Genomic DNA, 15744 nt, shown 5'->3' with positions numbered 1-15744 from the left:
ATAGAGGAGTGAGTGCTGAGGTGCACAGGGCCTCTTCTAGCGTCATGAAAATGCTCTGGAGCTGGACAGAGACGGTGGCCACAGAACAATGTGATCGTGTTAAATGCCCCTGAACTGCAAACTTAGAAATGGCTAAGTTCACCGGGCACGGCGGCACACGCCTGGAATCCCAACACTTTGGGAGGCCGAAGCAGGCAGATCACCTGAGATCAGGAGTTCGAGACCAGCCTGACCAACATGGTGAAACCCCGTTTCTACTAAAAATACAAAAATTAGCCAGGCGTGGTGGCACGCGCATGTAATCCCAGCTGCTCGGGAGGCTGAGGCAGGAGAATCACTTAAACGTGGGAGACGGAGGTTGCAGTGAGCCGAGACTGCGCCATTTGCACTCCAGCCTGAGCCACAGAGCAAGACTCCATCTCGGAAAAAAAAAAGAAAAAATAAAAAAAGGCTAAGTTCATTTTATGATATGTGAATTTTACCTCAATTTTTTCTTTTTTTTTTTTTTGAGATGGAATCTTGCTCTGTGGCCCAGGCTGGAGGGCAGGGGCGCAATCTTGGCTCACTGCAACCTCTGCCTCCTGCGTTCAAGTGATTCTCCTGCCTCAGCCTCCCGAGTAGCTGGAATTACAAGCACCCACCACCACGCCCGGCTAATTTTTTTTGTATTTTTAGTAGAGACAGGGTTTCACCATCTTGGCCAGGCTGGTCTCAAACTCCTAACCTCGTGATCCACCTGCCTTGGCCTCCCAAAGTGCTGGGATTACAGGCGTGAGCCTCCACACCCAGTCACCTCAATTTCTTTTTTGTTTGTTTTTTTTTTTTTTTTTGAGACAGAGTCTTGCTCTATCACCCAGGCTGGAGTGCAGTGGCGCGATCTCGGCTCACTGCAAGCTCCGCCTCCCGGGTTCACGTCATTCTCCTGCCTCAGCCTCCCGAGTAGCTGGGACTACAGGCGCCTGCCACCTTTTTTTTTTGTATTTTTAGTAGAGATGGGGTTTCACGGCGTTAGCCAGAAAGGTCTCGATCTCCTGACCTCGTGATCCACCCGCCCTGGCCTCCCAAAGCGCTGGGATTATAGGCGTGAGCCTCTGCACCCGGTCACCTCATTTTTTAAAATGTACAAATGAAAAAGGGTCCATTTCCACGATGGCGCCTTGTGCATATGCGAGCCACGAGTCTCCAAGAAGCGGGTGGGAGAGGAACTGTATGGGCCTTAGTGGGGGACGAAAGGAAGGCTCTGCAGCTCCTCTTCTCACCGCGACATCCCCTCCACGGCCTGAACACAGGTTGGGCGATCCCTGCCCAGATACAGGACTGCAGCCCAGTGCTCCCTGGACTCCAGTCGCCTCCACACTGCTGCGTCCTCGTGTGATGACAGAGCATAGGGGTGGACCTGCTTCTCCTGGAAGTTCCTTGAGGGAAACTCACACACGTTGCTTCCAGTCCTGCTCAAGCAGTTGGGACCCCTCTGCGTGCCAAGGGCCATGTTACCTGAGGCGTGGGTTCTGGGCAAGGCTCTGCACACGGGCCCAGGCGTGGTTGTTCCGCGGCTGTAGCTCTATAGGGACTTTCAGAGGCAGGCGCACTGGCTTCTGGTCCTCTTCATCACTCAAGCCTGCAATGCAGAAGAACCATGAAAGTTTAGTGCAGCCCAACCTTAAGGTAGAAAACCAAGGGCTGGGCCAGAAAAACCAGTGAAATCAGCTGTGAGCAGATGGCCTTGCAAACAGAGGCAAGGAGAGCAGAGAAACCCCAGCGAAGAAGAAACTCCAATGTAGCTGCTCAGGGGTTTGCAAAGGCCACAGACTGGTCCAGAGAGGCCATAGGAGACTCGATCCTGACAACCTCCGACCACTCTGCTGACTGCTGCCATGGCTCTGAGCTCAACTTGACTGAGTGGTCGTAGGGAGCATTTCAAGTTCAAGAGTGGTCCATGTGCAGCCCTGGGATTAAGCAGGGTCAGACACAAAGCAACTGTGGCAGCAACCCGGTAGCTCAGCCTGCCCATCATTGAATGGGACACCATGGGCACCGCCTCTGGTCCCGGGAGCGCCCCATTCACTTACCATCTGGATCGCACAGCTTCTTCAGGGCCCGGCACATGGGCGCTTTGATCCGCAGGTTCCGCCCTTTGTAACGTACAGTGGTGGCCCTGGGAAAAGAGTTTTGAAGGAACGCTGAGGCCTGTGAGTGAACAGAAGGACGGAAGGGCCAGCACACGGAGAGGCGCTGAGCCAGGCCAGGTGGGGCCTGGCCAAGCATCCACCCCAGCCTCTCGAGCCCGCGTAGGACAGTGGGAGGACACAGTGACAAACAAGAAGTGGTGACTCTGCACATCCTGCTACTTTCCTGACCACACCTCACACTCCAAGGGACACCTGCTGTTTACAGAAAATGTGCTGTGCCCTCCTGCCTTGGTGACTGGCCTGGCACAAGCTGATGTCCCATCCCTGGAAAAGCCACTATCCTGGGGTCCCCTCAGATGGCCACCCCTCTCTCCACTGCCCCAGCTCTGTGCAGTCCTCCCACTTTGGGCCCTCAGAGCAGAAGCTCTCAGTCCTCCTCCCCATGACCTCTCAGTCTACCTCTCCGTGACCTCTCAGTCCACCTCCCTGTGACCTCTGTGTGACCTAAATCCAGCTCTACATGACCTGTGACCTCAGTCCACCTCCCCATGACCTCTGTGTGACCTCAATCCACTTCTACGTGACCTCTCTGTGACCTCAGTTCACCTCCCCGTGACCTCCATGTGACCTCAATCCATCTCTAGATGACCTGTGTGACCTCAGTCCACCTTTCTGTGACCTCTGTGTGACCTCAATCCACCTTTCTGTGACCTCTGTGTGACCTCTCAGTCCACCTCTCTGTGACCTGTGTGACCTCAGTCCACCTCTCTATGACCTCTGTGTGACCTCAATCCACCTCTAGGTGACCTCTGTGTGACCTCAGTCCACCTCTCCGTGACCTCTCAGTCCACCTCTAGGTTACCTCTGTGTGACTTCAATCCACCTCTAGGTGACCTCTCAGTCCACCTCCCCATGACCTCTGTGTGACCTCAGCCCACCTCTCCGTGAACTGTGTGACCTCAATCCACCTCTAAATGACCTGTGTGACCTCAGTCCACCTCTAGATGACCTGTGTGTGACCTCAATCCACCTCTAGATGACCTGTGTGTGACCTCAGTCCACCTCAACATGACCTCTGTGTGACAATTCACCTCTAGGTGACCTCTGTGACCTCAGTCCACCTCTCCGTGACCTCTCAGTCCACCTTTCCGTGACCTGTGCGTGACCTAAATCCACCCCTAGATGACCTCTGTGTGACCTCTCAGTCGACCTCTCCATAACCTGTGTGTGACCTCAGTCCAGCTCTCCGTGATCTCAGTCCACCGTGTGACCTCTGTGTAACCTGTCCAACTCTGTGACCTCTGAGTCCACCTTTTTGTGACCTGTGTGACCTCAGTCCACCTCTCCGTGACCTCAGTCCACCTTTTCGTGACCTCTGTGACCTCAATCTACCTTTCCATGACCTGTGGCCTCTGAGTCCTCCTCTCTGTGACCTCTCAGTCCACTTCTCCGTGACCTCTGTGTGACCTCAATCCACCTCTCCATGACCTCTGTGTGAGCTCAGTCTACCTCTGTGACTTCTCAGTCCACCTCTATGTGACCTCCCTGTGAGGAGTTTCTGATCTGAGAGAAAAACCAACTTGAATTCCAAGGAGTGGACCCCAGTCAAGACATGGCTCTGGGCAGCGGCCCACTGGCTGGTGAACGACAATGGGCTTGTGTTTTACAAAATGCTCAGGGCATGTGTATCTTGTTTTTACGGCTTTCTGCCTTAACCAATTTTAGGAATTCACCAACTCCCAGTTGCACACGTCAGGTAGGAGAGTTGCTGCTTCTATATTTGCTGTTGCTATTCAATTTCTAAGAAACAGTCTATGAAAAAAGCTACAGAACAGAGCGTGATTCTAAGGATGCGTAAAAAATTACATCTTCATCTCTATATGTATCTATATTTGTACCTGTACACTTACTTATGTAAATTCACTAAGAAAAAAATTCAGAAAGACACACATGAAATGACTGTAAGTGGTTAGCTTCGATGAGATGAGCAGGATGGGGTGGTGAAGAGGGTCTTATATTTTATCTGTGTATTGTTTGAAAATTGCTTAAGACTTATATTTATGCATTACTTGTATAGTTTTTAAAAAATCTTATTCCAATACAATGCTGACCAAAATTAGAGATCAAAATGTGAACAAGAGTCTGAAGCGAGTGCTGCGTGGGAGGGACTCTCCAGATGACTCCCGCAGTTTGGCTGAAAAGCAGCCTCTGCTGAGGGCGTCTAATGGAGACAGCCAGTTCTGGCAACCTCAGACAGGCAAAAAGGGTGACACCACAATCTCCACATCCCAGTAAACAAAGCTGCAATCCCCATCCTTTTAAAAGGGTCCTAGCTCTAATTTCAGCATTATGCAGTCTCAATACCCCACAAAGATTTTACCATCACCCCAAAAACCTAAGGCTTTAATCAAGTGTTTAGGGCCAAACAAGCCGGGCACGGTGGCTCACGCCTGTCATCCCAGCACTTTGGGAGGCCAAGGTGGGCAGATCAGCTGAGGTCAGGAGTTCGAGACCAGCCTGACCAATATGACGAAACCCTGTCTCTACAAAAAATACAAAAATTAGCCGGGCATGGTGGCATGCACCTGTACTCCCAGCTACTCGGGAGACTGAGACAGGAGAATCACTCGAACCCAGGAGGCAGAGGTTGTAGTGAGCTGAGATTGCGCCACTGCACTCCAGCCTGGGCAACAAGAGTGAAACTCCATCTCAAAAAAAAAAAAAAAAAAAAAAAAATAGTGGCTCATGCCTACTGTTGTAGGCTCAGCTCTTTGGGAGGCCGAGGCAGGCAGATCACGAGGTCAGGAGCTCGAGACCATCCTGGTTAACACGGTGAAACCCCGTCTCTACTAAAAATATAAAAAATTAGCCAGGCGTGGTGGTGGGTGCCTGTAGGCCCAGCTACTCGGGAGGCTGAGGCAGGAGAATGGTGTGAACCCAGGAGGCGGAGCTTGCAGTGAGCTGAGATGGCACCACTTCACTCCAGCCTGAGCAACAGAGTGAGACTCCGTCTCAAAAAAAATAAAAAAATAAAAATAGAAATAAATAAGGCCAAACAGTGAGGTCCCAATTGGCAGAAAGGCAGGAGCAGCAGCTGGGTTTCAGTAGCTATGGAAAGCTCAACAATCCCTCATGCATGGCAGCTACTCTTCTATCTATCCATTGACCATGCCTCTACCCACCCACTCATGTGTCCATCCATCCATCCACTCACGTGTCCGTCTGTCCACCCACCCAACTACTGACTGAGTGCCTTCAGTGCTGGGAATCAAACACAGGATACCAAAGGACAGAGCTGAGCCTTGGAAAGCCTGACCAAAGAGTCAAGACGGTAGAAAAAAAACTTCCATGCCCTCACCCCCTTTCTGTCTGTACAGATTTTCTGTCTTGAGGGATAATTTAGAGAGGATGAGTCCCCAGAGAACAACATGTTGTACTGAGACAAACTTCTTTTTTTTTTTTTTAGATGGAGTCTTGCTCTATTGCCCAGGCTGGACTGCAGTGGCATGATCTCAGCTCACTGCAAGCTCCGCCTGCCGGGTTCACACCATTCTCCTACCTCAGCATCCCAAGTAGCTGGGACTACAGGCGCCTGCCACCACGCCCAGCTAATTTTTTTGTATTTTTAGTGGAGACAGGGTTTCACCACGTTAGCCAGGATGGTCTCGATCTCCTGACCTCGTGATCCGCCCGCCTCGGCCTCCCAAAGTGTTGGGATTACAGGCGTGAGCCACCGCGCCCGGCCTGAGACAAAATTCTTAAACCACCTTAACCCAGCTGAAATACACAGATCTAAGTGCCACAGCAGTTTTATGAACATTAATGATGTCAGAGTAGGGCGGCAGCAGAAGGAACCAGGGGAAACATTGGTCAAAAGCAGTCATTAAGCATGGAGTCAATTCTTTTTTTTTTTTTTTGAGACAGAGTCTCATTGTGTTGCCCAGCCTGGAGTGCAGCGGTGCAATCTCGGCTCACTGCAAGCTCCACCTCCTGGGCTCAAGTGATCCTCCTGCCGCAGCCTCCCAAGTAGCTGGGACTACAGGCGCCCACCACCACCCCTGGCTAATTTTTTGTATTTTTAGTAGAGACGGGGTTTCTCCATGTTGGCCAGGCTGGAACTCCTAACCTCAAATGATTCGCCAGCCGCGGCCTCCCAAAGTGCTGGGATTACAGGCGTGAGCCACTGTACCCGGCTCAAGTCAATTCTAAAATAATCTCCTCCAATGAAGTGCTCTGGAAACAAATGGACGTTTCCACTCACCATTTTTTATTCCATCTGCCCCAAAACAACAGTAGTAGGCAAGATTTAAACAGCTGGCGGAGCTGTGTCATGTGGCACCTGTGTTTTCAATAATCACATTTTCCGTTAAACTGCTATTTTGTGACTTCCTTTTTTTTTTTCCTTCAATCAAACTAAGTGCACCCTTCTGCATTCATATGGAACCATTCTGAGGTTACAGTCCTCCGTCTTTTTCTCTCAAATGGAAGTTCTGCGACCGACTTGAGGCTGCGACACTGAACACGATGAAAAGCCATGTTCAAGTGCGAAAGCCAGGGTGACGCTTAGGCCTGGTCACAGTTCCGGGACGTGGGTCCATACCTCCCCATCCTCGCACCAGCCTGGAAGCTGTAAGACAGGCTAAGACTTCCCAGATAGGCCCGGCACAGGGCTATAAGAGAAGAATCACAAGCTGACCTCTAAGTGAGCCCTCAAACAGAGGCTCTATTTACACCCCTCCATGAGTAGCTTTTTTTTTTTTTTTTTTTTTTTTTAAGGCAGAGTCTCACTCTGTCGCCCAGGCTGGAGTGCAGTGGTGCCATCTCAGCTCACTAAAACCTCTGCCTCCCAATCCAGGGCCTTAGGCGATTCTCATGCCCCAGCCTCCCGAGTAGGTGGGACTACAGGCATACACCAACATACACCCGGCTAATTTTGTATTTTTAATACAGACGGGATTTCACCATGTTGGCCAGGCTGGTCTCGAACTCCTGGCCTCAAGTGATCCACCCGCCTCGGCCTCCCAAAGTGCTGGGATTACAAACGTGAGCCACCACGCCTAGGTGAATAGCATTTCAGAATAGAAATATCATTGCAGAACAGAACAGCATTTCTGAATCGAAAACAGAGTAATCCCTCTATGTACATGGGAGCCTGGCTTTCGTTTCGGATACATTTATTCTCTTCTCTGCAAAACCACTTGATAAATCTAATAAGCACGTGATAAACTTAGGCCTCTGGGTCTGCGAACCACGTAGTAAGCTTTCACTTTAGTTTAGAGCTTTACTCAATTCATTTAGTCTTTAATTTAATTTTACAATTCTAAAACCAAAGAAGATTCACAGTTAATTGAAACAGGTCTGCATGAGAGGTAGAGGCGACAGCAAGTCAAATACCCCAATCGCTTTTGGGCTGAAATCCAGGGGTAGCCTCCCACAGGCACCTCAGTCATTTTCCCAATCTCTCACCTTGACAGGTTTCCTGTTTGTTTGTAAATACGAATGTCTGCTGGTCAAAGAACGGTCACAAAAGTTGACAGAACAGAAGGTCCAGAATGGAACCACACGGTACAGTCAACTGATGTTTGACAAGGATGCAAAGGCCACTCAATGGAGGAGAGACAGTCCTTTCAGATGGCACAGCTTGACACCCACAGACAAAAAGCAAAGCTCCTCCTAAACTTCACATGGTACACAAAAGTTAATTCAAAGCAGATCATGGATTTAAATGTAAAACTAGAAAACTTCTAGAAGAAAACACAGGGGCACATCTCTGTGACCTTGGGTTAGGCAAAGAGTTCTTAGATGTCATATTAAAAGCATAAACCATAGAAGAAAACAGTGACAGACTTGACTTCATCAAAGCGAAGGACTTTCACTCTGTGCAGGACAGTAAGTGAACAAAAAGACAGGCCACAGTCTAGGAGAAAGTATTTGCAGATGGAGTATCCAACAGAAGACTTGTGTCTACAATATACAAAGAATTCTCTAAACTCAAGAAGAAGAAAACAGGTACTTCACCAAAGACACACAGCAAATAAGCACGAGAAAGACACTCGGTGTCATGAGTCATCAGGGAAACGCATCAAAACCACAGCATGATGCCACTCCACACCTACTAGGGTGACTTTAGAAAGACAAACACCCCGAACACGCTGAGTGCTGGGGAGTGTGGGAAGCAACTGCAACTCTCTTGGAAGAGTCTGGCAGCTCCATGTAAAGCCAAACACACACTCCCACCTCCTCCTCCTCCTGGGGACCGAAAACCACGCTCACACAAAAACCTGGAGGCAAAGCCTGGGCACTTCTTCATCAACACTAAAACACTGCAAATAGCCCTGGGTCCCTCCACTTGGAAGGGATAACACAGTGCAGCATGTCAACACTGTGGAACATGACTCAGCAGGTGAAAGTATAAGCTGCAGATCCACAAGTCAACACGGAAGAGCCTCGAGGGCATACTGCTGAGTGGGGACGCCCATCTCAGAAGGCTGCACACCACGATTCCCTTTAGATGGCTTTCTGGAAAAGGCAAAATTACAGGGAACGGAGAGTGGCGCAAAGGGTGCTTGGGGCAAGGTGTGGGGGAGGGACAGAAGGGGACTTGGGGGTTGCTGGCAGCGTTCCATATCTTGACAGTGGTGGCAGCTACACAACTCTACAAATTTGTGAAAACTTCTAGAACTGTAAGTGAAGAGGCCAATCTACAAAACTAAGCCCAGGATGATTCCAATGTGACGACGACACTCCGGGAAAGGTGCAGCTAGAGAGAGCGGGAGACTAGAGGCTGCTGGGGTGAAGCTAGAGAGAGTGAGACCAGTGGCTTCTGGGGGCACTACGAAGTGACAGGCAGAGCACAGGGTGTTCAGGGCAGTGAACTGCCCCCGTGTGATGCCAGAAGGGTGGGCACATGTCATTACCCATCTGTCCAAAACCACAGAAGGCACAACGCTGAGTGGGCCTGTAAGTAAACTATGGACTCTGAGTGATGAAGAAGGGTCAAGGAAACCTCATGAGTTGTGATAAAAGGACCACGCGAATGCAAAGTGTTAATTATACCTGTAATCCCAGCACTTTGGGAGGCCAAGGTGGGAGGATAACCTGAGGTCGAGAGTTCAAGACCAGCCTGGCCAACATGGTGAAACTCCGTCTGTACTAAAAATATAAAAAATTAGCCGGGCGTGGTGGTGGGCGCCTGTAATCCCAGCTAGTCGGGAAGCTGAGGCACGAGAATCGCTTAAACCTGGGAGACAGAGGTTGCAGTGAGCCAAGATCGCGCCAGTGCACTCCAGCCTGGGCAACAGAGCAAGACTCCATCTCAAACAAAACAAAAGAAAATAAACCAACGAAGTGTTAATAATGGGGGAAATCGTGTGGGGCAGGGGAGGGGCGTAGCTCTGTACACAGTTTTTCTGTCAACTTAAAACTGCTCTAAAAACTAAAATGTTTTAAAACAAACTTCTATAACTATGACAAAAAGCAAAAAAAAAAGAACAAAAGTAAAAATATTAAAGCAAAAAATGGGTCAGGTGTGAAGGATCATGCCTGTAATATCAGTGCTTTGGGAGGCCAAGACGGGAGGATCACTTGAGCCCAGGAGTTTGAGATCAGCCTGGGCAACATGGCGAAACCCCGCCTCTATTTAAAAAAGGAAAGAAAGAAAAAGAATGTACACACCACACCACACCACCTCCAACAGCGTCCCCATCTCTTCTCCACAGGGAACGAGAGGCACAGTTTTACCCAGAACGAGGGGCTCTCCTGCTGCAAACCCTCCTGTGCTCAGAGCTGGGCCTGGCCCAGCCCTCCAGCCTCAGCTCTGCACTCTTCCTCTCCCCTCCCCTCCTGAGGCTTCCATGACCCAGTTCCTCCTTCCCACCTTCCTTTCCCTGGGCCAGGTGATTCCCCAACTCTTTGTGTGGCCCCTGATCGCTTCCCTAAACGCCCCAGGCAGGTTCCCTTCCTGCCAGTTGCCATGTCTGCACCCACCTGCCACGTCAGTTTCACAGTAACTTTCATCCCCAGTTACTGTACATGTCTACACCACATGCTAAGGTGACCTGTTCAATGGACATGCATCAGCTGCCACACCACAGCTGTCACCACTGCATAACGAGCACCCATTCCTGTGCCAGGCACACACAGGCACCCAGACATTTCCAGAACCAATGAACACACTATTCAGCAGCCGTTCTGCCTCAGATCTCTCCATGGGTGCAGACAGAAATCTTTCCTTGCTGGTACCATGCTGTTCCAAACCTTTTCTCCGTGTCTCACACCTCTCTGGAGGATGACAATACGACAGGTGAGGCTGGGGCCCAGAGAGTCAGGTGAGAACGGCCAAGTCCCTTAGCGCAGGCTCCCACTCTCGCTGCGGCCTCACCCAGCACTCGGTCCAGGAGTCAGCACTGCCTTCACCTGCCATTTGCCAAAATCCTTGGCTACACGGGCAAATTCCCCATCAGCGCCCACACCTGAGCTCACCTTTTCTTTTGCCACCTGCCCAGTCTTTTCCAGACAAGCTGGTAGCCAGGTGAGCTACCTCAACACTAGCTTCCTTAAGAAAAAGGACAATCAATCTTGCCATCCTGCTGACAGGCCCACCGCCTAGGCCCACAGTCAGTCATCTCAGAGCCCCTCCACTGCAGGAGCACAGCAGAGGATGACAGCCGACATTCAGCCATGCCGCCTTCTGGCCAACATGCCCAACACGCGGCCTGGAGGAGCTGGGGACCCATGCCAGGCTCCCTCTTCATTTGGTTCTCAGAGTGGCAGATGGCATGACTGTAAATGGCACCAAGCGTGCTGCATAAGCTCATGACACATTTCGATTCCGCTGTCCACGCACCTGCTGCCCGGGAGGATGAGGCTGGAGGGGCGCTAGCACACATGCTACTGAGTACAGACATGGCCCAGGCCCATGCCTGCTTCTTGCCCTTCCCTCGGCAGAACCACCTGAGGGTTTTTTTTTTTTTTCTTTCCCCTAGACAAAGTCTTCCTCTGTCACCCAGGCTGGAGCACAGTGGAGGGATCTTGGTTCACTGCAACCTCCGCCTCTCGGGTTCAAGCGATTCTCCTGCCTCAGCCTCCCAAGTAGCTGGGATTACAGGCATGCACCACCACACCCAGCTAATTTTTGTATTTTTAGCAGAGACGGGGTTTCATCATGTTGGTCATGCTGGTTTCGAACTCTTGACCTTGTGATCCACCCTCCTTGGCCTCCCAAAGTGCTGGGATTTCAGGCGTGAGCCACTACGCCTGGGCAACCTGAGGGTTCTTTATACCAGAAGGCACTTTCCCTCTGCACACTTTAGCCAGCACCTCTAGTCCTGCAAGCCACAACCCTGTCATCACTCGGGAGACTACACTCTATCACGCAGCCCATAATCAAAGCCCCCCGAGTTGTCCCTAGAATACTCTTTGTAACCATTTCTTTCCTTCTCCTTCCTTGGTTTTTTTTAAAGGCCCAAGACCTCCACAAAGCTACTACCTGCATTTGTTTGTCAAGTGTCTCCAGTCCCTGGGAACTCCCTGTGCCCGTGTGGTCAGAAGGAATCTATTTCTTACATAAGTTCTCCCGCGGATGGCGCTGCAGGTGCCCACCACGCCCCCGCTGGGCAGCACATCTGTGTTTTGGCAAAAGGAACGCTCATCGGACAGGCCACTCTGTGCACCGTCCTCAAGCATACAGCAAAGAGTCTGGAACTCTGGCTTCATTCCATCAATCATGGAGGAAATGAAATAAAAGGTGAAGTAAGATTTGCCCCAAGTATGGATCCTGCGGCAGTGTTTTCCCTCATGGGACAGCCCCTTGCCTACTGGTCAGCTGACATCAGAAACCAACCAAGCCTTGGATCTTGGGCCTTCTCAAGACGGTTCCTCCAATGTGCCCAGTGCTGCTCAGGATAAGCCAGATACTGCCTGATGGAGGTAGAGCAGGAGCAAGAGTGGGAAGGAAGCAGGGCTCTGAAGCTGGGAGGGGCGCCTGGGCAAGGCGGTGAACACCCTCCCTATGGCTGGCGGCCCCTGGCTGTACCCCAGACCCACTCTGGGAAGTCTGTCCAGTGTTGGGGCAAGCTGGCTGCACTTTCTGGTGGCTGTGGTCACCCAGTTACAGTCGTTGGCTGCAGGCTGGTGGCAGCTCACACACAGCCTGGGAATCATGCCCAACACCTGCTGTGCTGGGACTGGAGGGAAGGCCTGTGCTGGCCCAGCAGGCACTGCTCCCACTGGGGCAGGGAGGGTTCCCAGGTCATCAGACACAAGCCTGGGGGAGAAGGGCCAAGGGGAAAAGCAACCAGAGGTCCAAGGGTGAAGTGCTATGGACGGAAGAGAGATGGGTAAGGACTGTTCAGGAGTGGCTGCAAGGGCAGGGCTCTTGGGTGCGGGTGGCATACCCACAAGGATCGGGGCTGGTTGTGCAGACCCAATATCTGTGGTTCAGTGAACTGAGAGCAGTCAGCCAGGCTGCCGGGATAGCTCTGGTGTGGTCAGTGGGCGGGATGGATGTAAGATGGGATGGCTACCCATGAGGACCCACACCAGGTGAGAAATGTACATGCACAGAACCCCACCAGGCTGTGCACTGGGAACCCCCAGGCTGTGGAACGGGGACCCCCCCCCAGGCTCCAGAGTGGGGACCCCCCAGGCTGCGGAGTGGAGACCCCCAGGCTGCGGAGTGGGGAACCCCCCCAGGCTGTGGCGTGGGGACCTTCCCCAAGCTGTAAAGCAGGGAACCCCCAGGCTGTGGAGTAGGGTGGCGGGGCCCTGCCCTGAAGTGCAGCCCAACAGCAGCAACTGGGCAGATGTCAACTGGACCATCAGGGGCCCGGTTGTTTGTGTGGCCAGGAGAGCATGTGCCCTCTGGGAGTCAGGTGTGTGAGGGGAGGAGAGCGGCCAGTTGGAGACAGAAGCATCCAGGGCACAAGAAGGCAGGGAAGCTGTCAGAAGTGGCCCAGGACACGACAAAAATGCAATGGAAAGGAGAGGCCCTAGAAGCCGGGGACCAGCCCCACAGCAGGCACAAAGGTGGAGGAAAAGGAGCACAAAAAGCAGGGCCCTGAGTGCTGCGTCGAGACCACAACGCCCAGCCAGAGACCCTCGGGAAGGAGGAGGCCAAAGACGGCACTTCCTTCCCTCCCCGGGGCAGGCACAGGCTCTGGGCGCAGTCACTGCTCCCTGGACCAAGCACCTTTTGTTGGGACTGAACACGTAACTGAGAGGTTATGAAGTTTTAACTCGGAAGGTCCTCACTGAGAGCATTTCAGCTTCTGTATTTTAGAGAATAAACACAAAACACCCAGAGAAGTGATGTTTCACATGGAAACTGGGACTTACCCAACCTGAATGAGTTCATTCAGCTTTGTTGCATTCTTGTCATCCATACCTTTAAATGGAAAAAATAAATAAATGAGACCACAATGTAGTTAGGAGCAAAGCCACTGAAGATTCCCATACAATTCCGCTCAATATAGACTCAAATCCCATTACCGAATATTAAAGTTCCTCTGGAATAAAAGCCCTACAGTAGCTGCAGCCCCTCCCTCAAAGTCACACCTTCGAGTCAGCTGCCCTGGTCGCCCCCGCTCACCTGAAAGCCTGGCACGCCCCTGCCTGGCCCCCTCCTCAGGCAGGCCCACTACCCAGCCTCTGACCAGTTGATCTGTCCTCCCAAGAGCTCCCTCCTAGGTCCCCCAGCGCCGGCCTTCCACTCATCCCTATCTGCCTGGCTCAACAGCTGCTTCCTGCAGGCACCACACCTGCCCACGCACACTTCCTGCTGGGCTCGTACTGACAGTGTCCGGTGTTGACCTTCCGGCCCACAGTGTGGAACCCCCAAGGCACCCAGGGTCCACAGAATGAAGACTCCGACACCCTCTGAGTTTCCTGGAGCAGACGCCCCATTTCCTGTGACCTGCTCGGGACTCTTCACTATCTTCAAGATGTGCAAGAAAGCAGCTACAGTACGTTAACGGGAGAGACTAGGTGCTGGGTACTTGGCTGTTCACTGTAAAATTCTTTGAATTCTTCTGCATGTTTTAGGGAAAAAAACTCCACAAACGAACGACCAGGCTGAAAACCAAAACCAAAGACAAAATTGTCAAAGCAGCCACAGACAGACAATGCACCTCGCACGGAGGAATGAGGGCATAGATGACCACTGACCCCTCTCATCAGAGCAGCACAGGCCAAGAGGCAGCAGACAACGGTGTCAATGTGATGAAAGAATGAACCCGTCAGATCAGAATTCTCTATCCGGCAAATACATCTTTTAAGAATGAAGATGAAATAAAGAATTTTCAGATTAATAATAACTAAGAATTCACAGCCGGCACAACTGCACGGAAAAAAATACAGGAGGTTTTTCAGAAAGAAAGGAAACAAAGCCAGATGGAAACGGAACTTCAGGAAGGAATGAAAAGCACCGGAAAGGGCTCTTGTCGCCAGGCGAGGCACCAAGAAAGGAACCGGTTGCGGAAACCGGCCAGGCATGGCATGCCACAGGGTCACCGTGCCCCACCTCTCCTGCTCCCGGATGAAGGGTTGGAAGCCTGGGAGCAGTGTGCCCCTCACTCAGCAATCAAGTCATTTATTTTCATCAAACTTGAGCATCCTCATGAGGCAGGAGAATAGGGTCTAGAGGTAGGGAACCTAAGGCCAATTCACGCTGACTTCCTAGAACTAAATCAAAAGGAAAACCCCAACTTTCCACACCTAAGTAACAAACGGACCAGACACGCTATTCCCTTTGCAACGCCCCCTCCCCTTCTTTCTTCATGGCAGATGGGAAATTGAAAGTATCTCTGATTGGTTGCAGAAAGCAGAAAGCAATCGGACATTTACATAGGAGTACAACTTTGGAACTTCACTTCAGCCTGACTGGTTGCTTCTGCTAGGTTTGAAAAAGTCTAAAAAGTCTTCCCCAAGACTGGGGCCAAGTCTTCCTTTGCAAAGAAGTGTAACTTTGTAACCAGTTTAGCTTCTGATTGGTTGTTTTCCACAACCAATCAGATGCTTGCATAGAGTGTAACCTTTGTAACCTCACTTCAGTCTCTGATTGCTGGCCACTACTTCATTTACATAGGGTGTACACCAAGCAGCCAATGGGAAACCTCTAGAGGTTTCCCCCTCTAGAGGGGGAAACTTCTGTAAAAGGGCTCTTGAGCCCCTACGTCCGGGCCCACTCCCACCCTGTGGAGTGTACTTTGGTTTTCAATAAATCTCTGCTTTTGTTGCTTCATTCTTCCCTTGCTTTGTTTGTGCATTTTGTACAATTCTTTGTTCGAAATGCCAAGAACCTGGACACCCTCCACCTCTCAGAAGCTTCTAGGGAGGAAACCAGAACAAGCAGTGGTGCAAAAGGACCAGGCAACAAGGAGTGGGAACACATGGTCAAGATGGGGTTTTCCTTTATCTGGGGAAGATGAGAGCTGGGAGAGCTGTGGCGTAAACTCCTTGGGGCCTGGGATGCTTCCCAAGGCTGAGAGAGGGCAGATGAGAGGCGGCAGGAACAGGCATGAAGAGCTGGGACACGAGGCCCACGGACATGAGTGCGGGCTGGAGAGGCAGGCTGGAGGAGGTAAGAGGAGTGGCTGGGCCCACAGGGGACAGACCCAGT

The 15744-nt window shown here is 51.4% G+C and overlaps 1 protein-coding gene across 1 annotated transcript in view, besides 2 other annotated features; it reads right to left on the bottom strand.

The window, feature by feature from the left end:
- CRAMP1 (cramped chromatin regulator 1) overlaps positions 1 to 15744 on the bottom strand; it is a 65549-nt gene that overhangs the window by 23258 nt on the left and 26547 nt on the right. Inside the window, exons 6-8 of the mRNA NM_020825.4 lie at positions 13464 to 13512; positions 2070 to 2155; positions 1495 to 1618 (exon numbers count right to left, since the gene is read on the bottom strand). Coding sequence (NP_065876.3) covers positions 1495 to 1618; positions 2070 to 2155; positions 13464 to 13512 — 259 coding nt within the window. The remainder of the gene's footprint in view (positions 1 to 1494; positions 1619 to 2069; positions 2156 to 13463; positions 13513 to 15744) is intronic.
- Positions 3188 to 3362: a silencer, noted in NCBI's record as "fragment chr16:1701290-1701464 (GRCh37/hg19 assembly coordinates)". NCBI's record gives its function as "represses an EF-1alpha promoter that drives an FKBP-Casp9 reporter gene in an ReSE screen in phorbol 12-myristate 13-acetate-treated (for megakaryocytic differentiation) K562 erythroleukemia cells {active_cell/tissue: K562(+PMA)}" and the evidence as "EXISTENCE:reporter gene assay evidence [ECO:0000049][PMID:32094911]".
- Positions 8384 to 8603: a silencer, noted in NCBI's record as "fragment chr16:1696049-1696268 (GRCh37/hg19 assembly coordinates)". NCBI's record gives its function as "represses an EF-1alpha promoter that drives an FKBP-Casp9 reporter gene in an ReSE screen in K562 erythroleukemia cells {active_cell/tissue: K562}" and the evidence as "EXISTENCE:reporter gene assay evidence [ECO:0000049][PMID:32094911]".

This window comes from Homo sapiens, chromosome 16, assembly GCF_000001405.40.
Source record: "Homo sapiens chromosome 16, GRCh38.p14 Primary Assembly".
In the NCBI taxonomy this organism is placed as follows: domain Eukaryota; kingdom Metazoa; phylum Chordata; class Mammalia; order Primates; family Hominidae; genus Homo; species Homo sapiens.
This window is presented reverse-complemented; position numbering and strand designations above follow the sequence as displayed.